We start from the raw sequence: 14205 nt of genomic DNA on the forward strand, positions 1-14205 counted from the left end.
TTTTTTTGTATTTTTGGTAGAGATGGGGTTTCACCGTGTTAGTCAGGATGGTCTCGATCTCCTGTCTGTCAGAAATCTTTACACAAACATGCACACTCGCACACACCCACATACATCTCTATACCCCATTCCAGAGGGAGCATTCACTTTCCCTGTAATGCTCTCCCACTGTGAGTCGTGATGGCCAGTAGAGATGATGTAATAATAATTTTATTGGATCAATATATCATTTAGAAAATAAAATCTCTCCCCTTCACTGGGTGATGACCATGAGGGGAAATGCCTGTGTCTGGTCAGTAATTTATGTCTGTCAAGCACAATGAATGGGATCTCTAGCTCAATGCACTTGTCTTTGTGTTTTACTGTATACTCTATGTTTCCAGCAGTGTCTGTAAAACATCCCTCTGAAGGGCTCTCCTTTGAGCAGGAGGCAGCTCCGTCCCCCCAAGAGGTTTAGATCCCAGTCAAGCAGGGAGCTGGCCTGGCCATGGCTTTTCATTTCTTTGTGCAGCAGATGACAAGGTCAGTTTCGTTAGGCCAGTGCTTGCGAAGACACTTCTTTGCCTTCCTTAGCAAGCATTAGGAGACCCATTTTACAGATAGGGAAAACAGGGGACTAAAAGGGTAGAGCTTTCCTGCAGCCCATAAGGTTAAAAAAAAAAAAAAAAAAGGTCTTCATTTTCAACAGTAATAAAACACTCTGTCCATGCCTCTCTACAACTTTGTGGCTGGGATCAGAGCAGGAGAAGGTGGGTAGGAAACCATATCACTTTGTCATGACAGCTTCATCCAAGTCCGGAGCACAGAGCAGCTCGGCTCTCTATCTCTTTCCAAGTCCTTTCTAATCCTATCATCACATTCTGACCCATGGCCTCCCCGCCTCCATCCCCTCTTCTCTCCTGAGCTGGCAAATCCTTTGGAGCTGGCACTTCTGTGCCATATTGCTTGGTACTGTGTTCGTGTGCCGCTTTGTTTTGGTTCAAGCCAGCTCCCTGCACAATGAAATTAGAATGCCTGGGTGCTGGAGAGGGGGTTGGGGGAGAAGAGCACAGGATTAATGGCAATATGCAGGGAGACATTTAATCAATCAGGGGCTTTCTGAAAAAAACAAAAAGACAAAAATGAGAAAATGAAGGAAACCATTATTTAGCGTGTGCTGGGCACTACATTCGACTACCAAAATACAGAAACAAAAACCGCAAAGGAAATTAATTTCGTTGAAGTGGTATTGACAATAAAATAGATGCTGTCTTGTTTTGATAAATTTATATATGGTATTGCTATTCCTCTGTCTGCTGACAGTGCTTGAGTCATTTCTCCTATAGTGGAGAGTGGGCTGAGCTAAACTTCTGCACTCTCATGGCAAACTCACTTCTGAACAGGGCATCCATTCATCTACCCATTCACCCACTCAGCTTTTGAGGGGAGGAAAGGGGATGGGCCACATGATTTATGTATTCAGGACCAAATCTTATAACTAAGAGACACATTTACTAGTGAATTATTTATTGACATCTGTGATTTTAGTATTAGGTTGATACAAAAGTAAGATATACTACAGATTACTTTGTATTAAACAATAGTTTGTTTGAGCCATATGTGCCTGGAACTATTCTGAACACAAGTGGTTCGAGGATAAATAAGATAGGAAGTCCTCGTCCTCCAGATATACGACTAACATTCGCAACACAGATCTCAGGGGTTGAGTTGATCACTTTGGCCCTGTTGACCCCGGCTGAGTCAACTACTCTAGAATGAAAATAAATGGTGGGGTTTTTAAAATTTGTTTTATTTTCGTTTTTATAAAGGGCATTCAAGCTTAGAAAAACAGGAAGGCACTCAATTTTTAAAAAGCAGGCCAGGTATGGTGGCTCACACCTGTAACCCCAACACTTCGGAAGCCCAAGGCAAGAGGATTGCTTAAGGTCAGGAATTCAAGATCAGCCTGGACAACTTCGCAAGACCCCACATCTACCAAAAAATTTTTTTCGTAATTAGCTGGTTGTGGTAGATAGGAACTCCTATCTATTCCTACCTTATCTGCATTCCTAGCTACTTGGGAAGCTGAGGCAGGAGGATTGCTTGAGCACAGGAGTTTGAGGCTGCAATGAGCTATGATCGCGCCACTGCACTCCAGCCTGGGCAACAGAGAGAGACCCTGTCTCAAAAAAATAAAAAAGCAAACCTAAATCCTGTTTTTTCCATCAACTTGCCTATCCCTCCTTCAATGTGAAAGCTAAACTCAAGGGCATATCAATCATCAGCTTTACCATCCAGTCATTTTCAGGATATTCTCAAGGCTACGACCCCACCCCCAGCCCTTTCTCCTGCCACGGCATATACCAGATACCTGAAATTTCACGGCTGGTCAAAGATGTACACAAATGGAAAGTTTGGTTATCTCAGAAGCCCCTTGCCCTGGGACCCTTACTAGAGAGCTCCTTCCCCAGGAGGGCAGAGGGTACTGGGTGAGGAGAACAGGCAGATGTTTGAGTTGAACTCACAGACATCCCTCTGTGAGTGTTAGTGAAGCTCTATGAAACACAGCCCTTAGATCTCCTGTCATTCAAGAAGGATTTTTGCTTCTATTATTGTTTACCCTCCAATCACCAGTACCTAGTACTATGCTTGCCACACAGTAGAAATTCAATAAATGGGCTCTTACAGTTTTAATTTTTTCTCAAAAGGATATGCATACAGAAACAAAGCAAATCATACACAAGTGCTGTGTTGTGCAAAGGGAGTGTGGAGGCATAAGCAGCTATTGCCAGGTTGTGTAAATATACAATAGGGGTTACTAATGGAACATTTACAAGCCAGAGAAGCAGCAGAGTGTATCTGCTCCCCTGAGCACTCATCATTCTCAAAGAGGTGGGCTTAGGCTGGGCCTGGCTGGACCAGGTGCTCCAAAGGCAGGAAATGACCCCAGGGCTATCCAGATTAGTCGCTCCTCCAGCTTCCATGCACAGCAGCGGTCTCTGCACTCTTGCCCACTTCACTTCCCACAGACAATTCCTAAATCCAATCCATTTTTAATTCTTTTTGTGATTATTACTTTTTTTTTTTTTTTTTTTTTTTTTTTAAGAAACAGGGTCTCTCACCCAGGCTGGAGTGCAGAGGAGCAATCACAACTCAGTGCAACCTCCACCTCCTTGGCTCAAGGGATCCTCCCGCCTCAACCTCCAAAGTAGCTGGGACTATCAGTGCACGTGACCACGCCTGGCTTCTTCTCTTAATGCTATCAAATTTTAATGAAAGCAACTATGCCATCCATGGAATGGCAAGCATTAAACTATAAGAGAGACATCAAAACTTTTACTGCAAGAACACAGGCAAATGTCTTGCTGTGGTCGGCTTCTGGGAAGGCTGAATCATACTGAGCTGTACCCTAGATCCCTGCACTCTCACAGCTTTATCCTCCTGTTTCCTGGGCGACCTGAAGGCCCTGGTCCTCCCCTGATACTTCCAGGCCTCTGTGGGCTGCGTGTGGAGCAAAAGGGCCACCAGAGAGAGTCTGGGACTCAGACACAGCATTAGCCAATATTTGCTGTTATCATTTTATTTTCTGAGCTTGTTGAGACTTCTTTCTGTTGACAGACCTACCCATCCAACTTTCTGGAGTACTTTTCTCACAGAAGACTTTGAAAGAAAGCTTTGAAAGAAGGAACTGGGCCAGGCACGGTGGCTCACACCTGTAATCCCACTACTTTGGGAGGCCGAAGCAGGTGGATCACAAGGTCCGGAGTTCGAGACCAGCCTGGCCAACATGGTGAAAACCCGTCTCCACTAAAAATACAAAAATTAGCCGGGCATGATGGTGCGCACCTGTAGTCCCAGCTACTCGGGAGGCTGAGGCAGCAGAATCGCTTGAACCTGAAAGGCGGAGCTTGCAGTGAGCCAAGATCGTACCACTGCACTCCAGCCTGGGTGACAGAGCGAGACTGTCTCAAAAAAAAAAAAAAAAAAAAGGTAGGAAAGAAGGAACTGGTTCTGTCTAACCCATTGTCCATATCTTCAGCCATCATCTGTAGAGGTTGTACTTCCAATATGTATGGCTCATGTTTCTGCATACATTGTAGAACGTTTCTTCTGTTTCTAGGTAGTGTATTTCCTCCTCCATTGATTTTCTCTGAAGTTTCATTACATGTTCTTGATGTATTTCAAGTTCCAGAGGAAGCTTCTGAATCTCACTTTGAAGCTGTGAATTTTCAGTCGGCAAAGATGCTTGCTCAGTTTGGAGACTTTGTTTGTCCTGGAAGCTCTTCATTCATTGGATTTTCTTCACATAATTTCTTGGATTTTTTTTTTTTTTTTTTTTTGCTTTTTCCCTTCAAATCTTCTAAAGAAAACATTTAAGTTAACAGCATCCAGGAGTCTCTTCAAATCAACTTGTAACTGATAGACCTGGTGATCTCCAGTTCTTTCTGCTTTCTTCTTTTTCTCTAATTTCAAGCTGCCATCAGCCATGTGGTCTCTAAAGAGACAGATACACCTACGATCTTCAGCAAGGTTTTCATCAGAGATGTTCACTGGCCCACTTTATCACCCATGACTTATTTCATTCCCCCCTTTGCGTTTTCAAGCAGGTTTTCTGTCCCTTCAGTTCCTTCATTCTTTGCTCCCATCTCACGGTTTTTTTGGCAAGCAGTTCTAGTCTTTCCTGAAGATGAGTGTTTTCATTCAAACTGTCCATCATTCTCTTCTGTTCTCCACTGTTCTAAAATGCTTGTAAGATGTTTTATGAATCAGTCACTTAGGATTGGAAGGATTTTGATGCATCTTTGAGTGACAGTGTCTGTCCGTGAAGTGAAAGTTCAGGGAGCTGGCTTTTCTGTCCTTTTCCAGAAAAGTCTACCATGTCCTCAGGTGAAGGCCTATTCTGATATTTACTCAGTGCTGCCAAATACAGAATTTGTAACTGCAAAAGACTGGCCTCCACCACAGGTGGCTTGAGGGCTTCATAGGCTTGTGTCATCAGCACCATCTTCTCACTGACTTTTCCACACACTTTAACCAAGTGGAACACCTCGCTCTTTTTCCCTCCTTAAAGTGTGTAGGCTGTTTACCATAAAAACAACCCTAGCAGCAGCACACACAAGGATCTTCTGGGGAAACCCAAAGAGACTGGGACTTGCTCAGAGGCTCAGACATCACCAGCAGAGGACCACACAGCTGCTCCAGGCCCGGCTGGAGAGACATTTTGGTGGTAGATACTCAGGCCTTCCGTGGGTCCGAAGGGCTCCCCACTTCTATTCAGATTGCTGGTATCCTGTAGGCCACTGTGGACCACACAGAACCCTTGGGGGACACGGGTGTCTGTCTGTAATGCAAACAAGTGCCAGGCAACAAGCACAGACCATACATCAGCTGAGAAAAAGGAGGTGAAGGCCAGTCAGGTTCTATAACATAATGCTCCCTAACCTTGCTCTGCTCAATGCACAAATAGAAAGTGGTACTACTTAGTGCATTTGGGGAAGCAGAAGGTGCTGACTGCAGCCAGAGACCAGGCTGGAGCTCACGCCATTCCTGGCCCCACATGACCCTCCAGCAAACCTAGAGGATCAAGCAGCGCCATGTTGGTGGTGATTACCTTAACCTAAATGATATTTATAACTCTACTTCTTGGTTTTTCAACTTACAATGTCCTCATTTAAAACTTAGCTCAATGTGTGTGGTTTCATATTTTTTATTGATATATTTACTTTTATAACATTAAATCACAGTACCTCCATTTACTGTTCCATCAATTTTAGTCAGTATTTTGATTCTCCTTCAGATAAGATGGGAGTATTTATGCCCCTACCCATCCTTCTCCCTTCTGTCTCCAACCTGCTGTCGAATAAATTTCACATTAAAAAGCTGATATTAAGATTTGCATTCTGTAACTACAATGTTATCCTCTGAGCTTCCATAGATGCACTCTAAATGTTGTTGTTGTTAGCAACAATTATGATCACAATACACAAATTGCTCTGCCTGAACAAGTGGGGCCAGTGTGTCAATTTCCTTTCTACAAATCTGAAATTGCAATCCTTAGGCCACTCAAAGAATAATGGTCATCCCAGCATAAAGCTCAATGAATTCCCTTTCTTATATTCCAGCAATTGCTTAAAGTCATGATACATTTTGCTTATTGGGATACTGACTTTGTGGTACAGCTTCTTGTTTATCTAGGTGCTTCCAAGCACATTTTTTCCTTTGACTAATGGTCATTTTTCATGTTTTAAGATGTTCCATCCTTGAGAGGATATTCCTACCACAGGAGTGCTCTTTCTTCTCATTCCCCCTTGCAGAACTCTTTGCTCTTCTTTTCCAGTCTGGATTGCTCGTCCTCCAGGATCAGCCTGGCTGTTACTCTGGGGTCTCCTTAGCTGTTCTCCTGAATTGGACCTGATCTCCTGTCTCCTGGATCCCATGTCTTTCTCTTCCTCTGTTTACTTCCCCATGCTGCTGGGATATGACCTCAGATGCTGCCTAAGAAAAGGTATAAGGAAATTAAATTGGCCTTATTCTGCCCTAATATTTGATTGACAATTGGGCTGAGTAAATAATTTTTTTTAAGTTAGGTCCTATTCTCTCAGAACTTTGAAGGCATTCTTGTATTGTCTTCTAACACTGAGGGATACAGATGAAAAGTCAATTGCCAGTTTGAGTTTAGTTTCTTTGAGATAACTTGCATTGTCTCTCTGGGAAATTGTAGGATCTACCAGTTGTCTTTGGTGCTCTAGAATTTTGCAGAAAAATGTCTAAGTGTTGGGTCATTTGTTTTGCTTTGCTTTGTTTTGTTTTTCCATTTACTATGCTGGATATTTGGGGCCTTTTAAACTTAAGGTCCTTCTTCAGCCCTGATAAATTTTATTCTACTCTTTCTTTGCTAATTTCCATTTTTTCTATTCTTTCTTTCTGGGATTGATCTTCATTTTATGTTTGACTTCAAGGATGAGCTCTCATGTCTCTTACCTTTTCTCCACTATTATTTTTTCTCTTTATATTTCTTTTCTACATTCTGAGAGATTCCCTTGACTTTACATTCCAAGCTTGTTTTGAACATTTTTAATTTTGATAATCAAGATTTTTTAAATCTGTAAGAACTATCTCTTTTTCTCTTTCTGTCCCTTTTTCATTGCATTTTATGCTTGTTTTATGGATGTAATATATCACTGAATTTGAGTATATGAATTACAAGACTTTTTTGGAGATGGACTTGGTGTCCAGTGGGGTCAGTTTGCCTATCTTGGTCTATCTCTTTCATGCTTCTGGTTCTTCTCTAATTCTTGTGGTTCTTGGTTGTCCTTCCATAGTTAAACTGGACAAGGCAGCCGATGTGGGATTTTTTTTTCTGCATTATGTCGGAACCCAAGAGGTCTCTTTTTTTTTTTCCCAGCAGCTCTCTTCCTTAGAATCCTGATTAGGAGCTCTCCGTGGGGTGTGAATTATTGCCTGGTGGCATGCTGGTGGCTTTGGCTTTAGGACGAATGTATGAGGCTCTCACTTAAAAACCAAGCCAAGAACTCCCCAAATGCCAGAACATGGAGGGCTCTATTCTGGACCACCAAAACCTGCACTAGATGCCTTAGCTTTCCACAGAGGGCTGATTTAAATTTACAGATATACCCTTTACATTTTATCTTGAAGCAGATACCAGATTATCTGTACCAAAGTATGATAGGTGGGCTGTACCAACCATAGCAACTTTTAACCATTCCTCCTCTTGTGAGTCTCATTTCTCACTCCTGTGTTCCACTGTACCTGCCAACTCTGAGCCCAGAATCCTTTTTGCTTTCTAACAAGCATATGGATTCCCACATCCATTGCAGCCCCACTTTTATTCCAGGTTATGCCTTTTCCCGACAGTTGCTTGCATCAAAATCCCATTCATTCCATCTTCCAGAAATGTGTTGGGATTTCTTGCATTCAACAATCTTCCTCCCCAATCTCTTTGCCATGATAGACATCTCAGAAGTGACAAAGGTGAAAGCATGTACTCAGCCCACCATTTTGAACCAGAAGTTCTCATTAAAAGTTTGTTTGAAGTCTACTACAAATTCCAACTAGAAACACCATTCTTCTATATGCCAAGCATTGTATCTGACTTTCATAGGCCGCCAGTACAAAAACTATTAGGCTAAAGATTACATTGGGTCTGTTTTTATTAAAAAGTTACTAAAGAAAATTCAAAGTAGACTTGAGAGAATAGTTTCAAAGAGTTCAAGGGCACAAAGGCCAGGGTTGGCAGCTTCTGGCATTCCCCCTGACTGCAGCTGCTGGAGCACACAAGGTGTGGAGGCCACCTCAGCTCCTGCCGGGAGGAGGCAGTGGCTGTCAGTCAAGAGCAAGAGGCGTGCGCCAGGGCTGTGACCCCCGACTCCTCACCAACAACTTTTTCTCCATGTCAGCTTAGCTGCCAACTTTGCACACACCTGCTTCCTTCTGAATCACCAGCTCAGAAGAAAGGAAGGAGGTAAGGCCAGCCCTGGACTAGGCTTTGATGTGCTGAGCCACCGCTGATCTTTGAGTAACAGATGCACAGAGCTTCTCCAGCGTATTACTGGGGACTCTAATTGCCAAAACAGAAATGAATTTGAGCTAGCTTAAGGAAAAAAAGGTGATTTTATCATAAAGGTCTGGGAGTAACTAATGAAACCCAACAGACTTTAGAAAGGGTGTAGAGGCCAGGCATGGTAATTCATGCCTATAATCCCAACACTTTGGGAGGCTGAGGCAGGGGGATCACTTGAGCCCAGGAGTTAGAGACCAGTCTGGGCAACACGGCAAAGCCCAATCTCTACAAAAATACAAAAAAATTACCTGGGCATAGTGGCATGTGCCTGTGGTACTTGGGAGGCTGAGGTGGGAGGATCACCTGAGCCCAAGGAGGTCAAGGCTGCAGTGAGTTGTGATCGCACCACTGCACTCCAGCCTGGGTGACAGAGTGAGACCTAGTCTCAAAACAAAAAGAAAGGCTATTGGACTGAGGACTTGGGAGCTATTAGGATTTGCCTCCATGTCTCATCTCCCAACTCCAGCCCTCTCTGTGTCCTGTTTCTCTCTTCCTGTAGACTGGCTTTCTCTTCTCTTCTGTCTACGTGGCAGAATGTGGCTACCCCTCTGACTGGGGGTTCACATACACTGGTTTGGCCATGCACAGAGACTGACATTTCCTTAGACCAAGGGCTGGCAAATTTCCATAAAGGCCAGATAGAAAATATTTTCGGCTTTATGGACTTTACAGTCTCTGGTATGACTATTCAACCTGACCATTGTTTCATGAAAACAGCCATGGCCAAGTTGCAAATAAATGGTCATGTGGCTGTGTCCTAACAAAACTTTATTTACAAAAACAAGAAGGCGATGGGCAGAATTTGGCTGGATCACCAACCACTGCCTTAGACACAACCCAGATTTTCAGAAAAATATGAAGTATTCAGTGTGGGTCACTGAATAACTTAGTCAGTCCCTAAGTTGGTAAACAAGAGAGACAGGAAAACACAGCAGACACATGGCCACTGGAGGCCTGGGGTGAGGTGTGCAGTTCCCAAAAAGGAGAGTCTAAGACCACACCTTAATGAGGGGTCACTATATCTACACCTCCTTTAGAGAAGCCATAGCTAAGGATATTAGCTCTTGCATCTTCTGACTTCAGGGTAATCTCACAGAACAGGGTAGCAAAAAGCCGTTATAGCATCTTGACATCCCCAGAAACAAAGTCCTGTTTAGAATGAGACATTTGAAAATTCCTCCCAATAAGAAAAGGAAGTGTGCCGGGAGCAGAGGCTCATGCCTGTAATCCCAGCACTTTGGGAGGCCAAGGCGGGTGGATCACCTGACTGTGATCAGGAGTTCAAGACCAGCCTGGCCAACATGGTGAAACCCTTTCTCTACTAAAAAAAAAAAAAAAAAAAAAAAAAAAAAAATTAGCTAGGCATGGTGACAGACACCTGTAATCCCAGCTAGTCAAGAAGCTGAGGTGGGAGAATCACTTGAACCCAGGAGGTGGAGGTTACAGTGAGCTGAGATCGTGCCACTGCACTCCAGCCTGGGCGACAGAGTGAGACTGTGTCTCAAACAAACAAACAAAACAAATAAAAAAAAAAAAGGAAGTGAAGAAAGACCGTGAAGTGAAGCAATTGGCCCTATAAAGAGTATATAGCCCTGGATCTGAGAAAGCTTATTCAAAACTTTTATTGTTCCTTAAATGGACATTTAGGGGGAGTTTTTACATTTAAACCCAAGGCTCTGAAATTGAACAAAAGCAATTTTGAGCTACAGTTGGCTGGGAGATTCCACGGCTCTCTGCTCCCCTGGGGCTCAGGACTGTACAGTGGTATGGTTGAGGCTTGAATTATGTGCCCAATGTGGCTGTAACTCAGTCTGCATCCTAGCCTCCCATGGTGGCCCTGTAGCCTACAGGCATATCATAAAAACGCTGCAGTGGCTGTTAGTGGGAATGGAAAATGGTGCAGCTACTATGAGGCAGTATGGTGTTCCTCAAAAAATTAAAAATAGAACTACCATATGATCCTGCAATTCTACTTCTGGGTATATAGCCAAAAGAAAAAGAAAGGTCCCGAGGAGATGTTTGCAAATCCATGTTCATAGCAGCATTCGTTATAATAGCCAAAAGGCAGAGGCAGCCCAAATATGCGTTGATGGGTGAATGGATAAACAAAACATGGTCCATACACACAATGGAATATTATTCAGACTTAAAAAGGAAGGAGATTCTGACACAGGCTACCACATGGATAAATCCTGGGGACATTCTGCTAAGTGAAAGGTACCTATTCTAGGTGCCTCATATAAGTGGAATCATACACTTACGTGGGGCACCTAGAATAGGTACATAAAGACAGAAGCTAGAGGGTTGTTGCCAGGGGCTGGGGGGCTAGGAGCTATGGGGGGCTGTTTTTCAATGGAGTAGAGCTTCAGTTTTGCAAGATGAAATGAGTTTCAGAGATGGATGGTGGTGACGGTTGTGCAATAACTTGAATGTACTTAACATTATTGAACTGAACACTAAAAATGGTACATTTAGATGGTACATTTTATGTGATGTATATTTTACTGTAATTTTGTTTAAGTCTGTAGTGGGAAAGGCTTCAACCTCCATGAGCCCTACTCTATTACGGCAGTGCACAGCTGTGGCCTCTGGGGCCAAGTGAAACATGACTCCTCACACCAGAACCACGACCCCCAAAAGCTTTCCTGGAATGACCTTGAGTCTCTGCCTTCTATTTTCCTGCAAAAATAAAAGGTTTTGTTTGTTTGTTTTTCTAGCCACAGAAACAAGGAATAGGTGTTTAGAAACACCCCACTGTCTGCTCCTCTGTGGACCATTCTGGGGTTTTTCCCCTGAAGTGAGCCTAGAATCTTCCACCCTAAGGACCTGGCCTTCCCAGAAGCCCTGAGGCCCAGAAGCTTGAATAAGTCCCCAGACAGCACCACAAGGGGAGACACTCTCACAACAGCAGTCCTACTATTGGCCACACCTCATGTGATCTGCTGCAAGAGCAGCGTGCCCCCTCCCCTGATGGGGGTCAGCTAGCAAAGCCCCCTCCACCACCCACACCATCCCCTCCTCTGAGATCAGAGCCTCCAGGGGAGAGGAGGAGCCCGTGTAATCCCCAGAGCCTCTCTCCAGCAACAGAGAAGAGCCATGAGCTTCTGCTTCAGGTACAGGCAGACCTTGCTCCAGCCTCCTAAGACCCTTTTTGCTTCAGCCTTGTCCCCTCCAGCCCCTTCTCCATGTGGCCACCTGCTGACCTCTGCTCACACATCCAAGTAGGCCACTGCCATGCACCAACCTTCATTGGCTCCCTACTGCCCTCAGGAACAAATGCCCAAGACTGTGTGAGGCCTCCAGCCTCATTCCCAGAAGCTCCCTGTCTTCATGCTCCTAAGCCCCACACATCCCTGCCTTTTCCTAAGTGTATCCCCTTTGAACCCCAGTCAATCAGTCAAGTCCCTTTTCTATAGGATGCACATTGTTGGATTGTTCTCAATGTAGCATGGTGATTGATCCTCTCCATGTCCTGCTCACCCCTCCAGGTGCCTCCAGTTTGCTCATATCCTCAATACAGCAGGACATCCAGGACTGACCACGTATATCAGGGGTGACTCCAACAGCACAGAGAACAGCCAACGGGTTCAGGGAACGGCTTCACAGGTTTGAGACACCATAACTAGGACAAAGACCAACTAAAGACCATGGACCCAAATTGTGGATGGAGGGATTTAAGATGAACTTCCAACCATTTGGATGAGCTCCAGGAGGTCATCTCTATCTCCCTGGAAATGCCCATGGGTAAGTCAGCCACAGACCTGGCTGGGTCACTGTGGATACAGCCTGGAGGGAGATAGGAGGATGGGTAAGGTCTAGGAGTTCTTCTGCCCCTGTGAGTTACAGAATCCCTTTACTGGGATCTCCAGTCATTTCTTTATTCTGATGGCTGCAGATAAGATTATTCTTTCATTTTTTTAGTCACAGAGGGGAAATCCTTAAAAAATAACCGTCTTTTACTCTGGGCAAATTGTCAGCCCACTGAAGAACAGGAGCTGATGCTCATGCCAGCCACCATGTGCCACATGGGTAGTGCCACCAAGAGATCAGAAACTAACAATGGAAGGGAAGGATGGAGTTTCTAACGCTTCTTTGGAGTCCTTGGAAGACTGTGTATTAGGCTGTTCTTGCATTGCTATAAAGAAATACCTGAAACTAGGTAATTTTTTTTTTTTGAGACAGAGTCTTGCTCTGTTGCCCCAGCTGGAGTGCAGTGGCGCGATCTTGGCTCACAGCAACCTCCGCCTCCTGGATTCAAGTGATTCTCCTGCCTCAGCCTCCTGAGTAGCTGGGATTACAGGCGCACACCACCACACCTGGCTAATTTTTGTATTTTTAGTAAAGACGGGGGTTTCACCATGTTGGCCAGGCTGGTCTCGAACTCCTGACCTCAAGTGATCCGTCCTCCTTGGCCTCCCAAAATGCTGGGATTACAAGTGTGAGCCACTGCGCCCAGCCAGAGACTGGGTAATTTATAAGAAAAGAGGTTTAATTGGCTCATGGTTCTGCAGGCTGTACAGGAAGTACAGTGACATCTGCTTCTGAGGAGGCCTCAGGGAGCTTTTATTCACAGCAGAAGGTGAAGCAGGAGCAGGTATTCCACATGGCAAAAGCAGGAGCAAGAGAGAGAGAGAGTGGGATAGGGCAGTGAAGTGCCGCATACTTTTAAATGACCAGATCTCCTGACAACTCACTATCACAAAGACAGTGCCAAGGCATGAGGGATCTCCCCCATGATCCAAACACCTCCCGCCAGACCCCACCCTGGCACTGGGGATTACACTTCAACATGAGATTTGGGCAGGGACACACACATCTGAAATATATCAGATGGGAGGCACGGAGTCCATGCCAGAGGCCAGCTTCTGTGAACAGGGCTTGGAACTGCAACACTTTTCCTAAATTCCTACCAGGTTTTCCCTTCTGGCAGCCTGGTCATGGCATTTAACCTCTCTGAGCCTCAATCTCCACTCCTGTTAAATGGAGATGATGCTACCAACCATGTACATGAAACGATTTTGCAAACTGCAAGGCATGATATACATATAAGTTTTAAGAAGTTTCTAGAGTAAATAAGATTGGTATAAAGCTAACAACTTGATTTCAGTGGAAGAATGCCTAACTCAAGGCAGACAGCGTCATTATTTAGAGAATGAGGCTGGGCACTTTGGGAGGCCAAGGTGGGAGGATCACTTGAGGCCAGGAGGTCAAGAGCAGCCTGGGCAACATAGCGAGATCCTGTCTACAAAAAAAAATTTTAATACAATAAACAAATTAGCTAGGCATGGTGGTGTGCCCCTATAGTCCCACCTACTCGGGAGGCCAAGGCTGGAGGATTGCTTGAGGCCAGGAGTTTGAGACCAGTCTGGGCAACATAGCAAGGCTCCATCTCTATAAAAAATAAAGTTTTTAAAAAATTAGCCAGGCATGGTGACATGTGCCTGTATCCCAGCTACTCAGGAGGCTAAGGTGGGAGGATCACTTGAGGCAAGGAGATCAAGGCTGCAGTGAGCCTGTGATTGTACCACTACACTCCAGCCTGGAGCCTGGGTGACAGAGTGAAACCCTAACTCAAAAAAAAAAAAAAAAGTTGGGGAGAGAATGAAACGTGAAGTTCCCAGATGGGCAGAGAGGCAGGAGGAATA

At 44.6% G+C, this 14205-nt stretch overlaps 1 long non-coding RNA gene across 1 annotated transcript in view; it reads left to right on the forward strand.

Annotated features, from left to right (window-relative positions):
- The window catches only part of FLJ40288 (Putative uncharacterized protein), a 79976-nt gene that overhangs the window by 63935 nt on the left and 1836 nt on the right, over positions 1-14205 (forward strand). The window contains exon 4 of the long non-coding RNA NR_046323.1: positions 12049-12304. This is a non-coding gene — a long non-coding RNA (Putative uncharacterized protein FLJ40288). The remainder of the gene's footprint in view (positions 1-12048; positions 12305-14205) is intronic.

This window comes from Homo sapiens, chromosome 7 (assembly GCF_000001405.40).
Source record: "Homo sapiens chromosome 7, GRCh38.p14 Primary Assembly".
Lineage (NCBI taxonomy): Eukaryota > Metazoa > Chordata > Mammalia > Primates > Hominidae > Homo > Homo sapiens.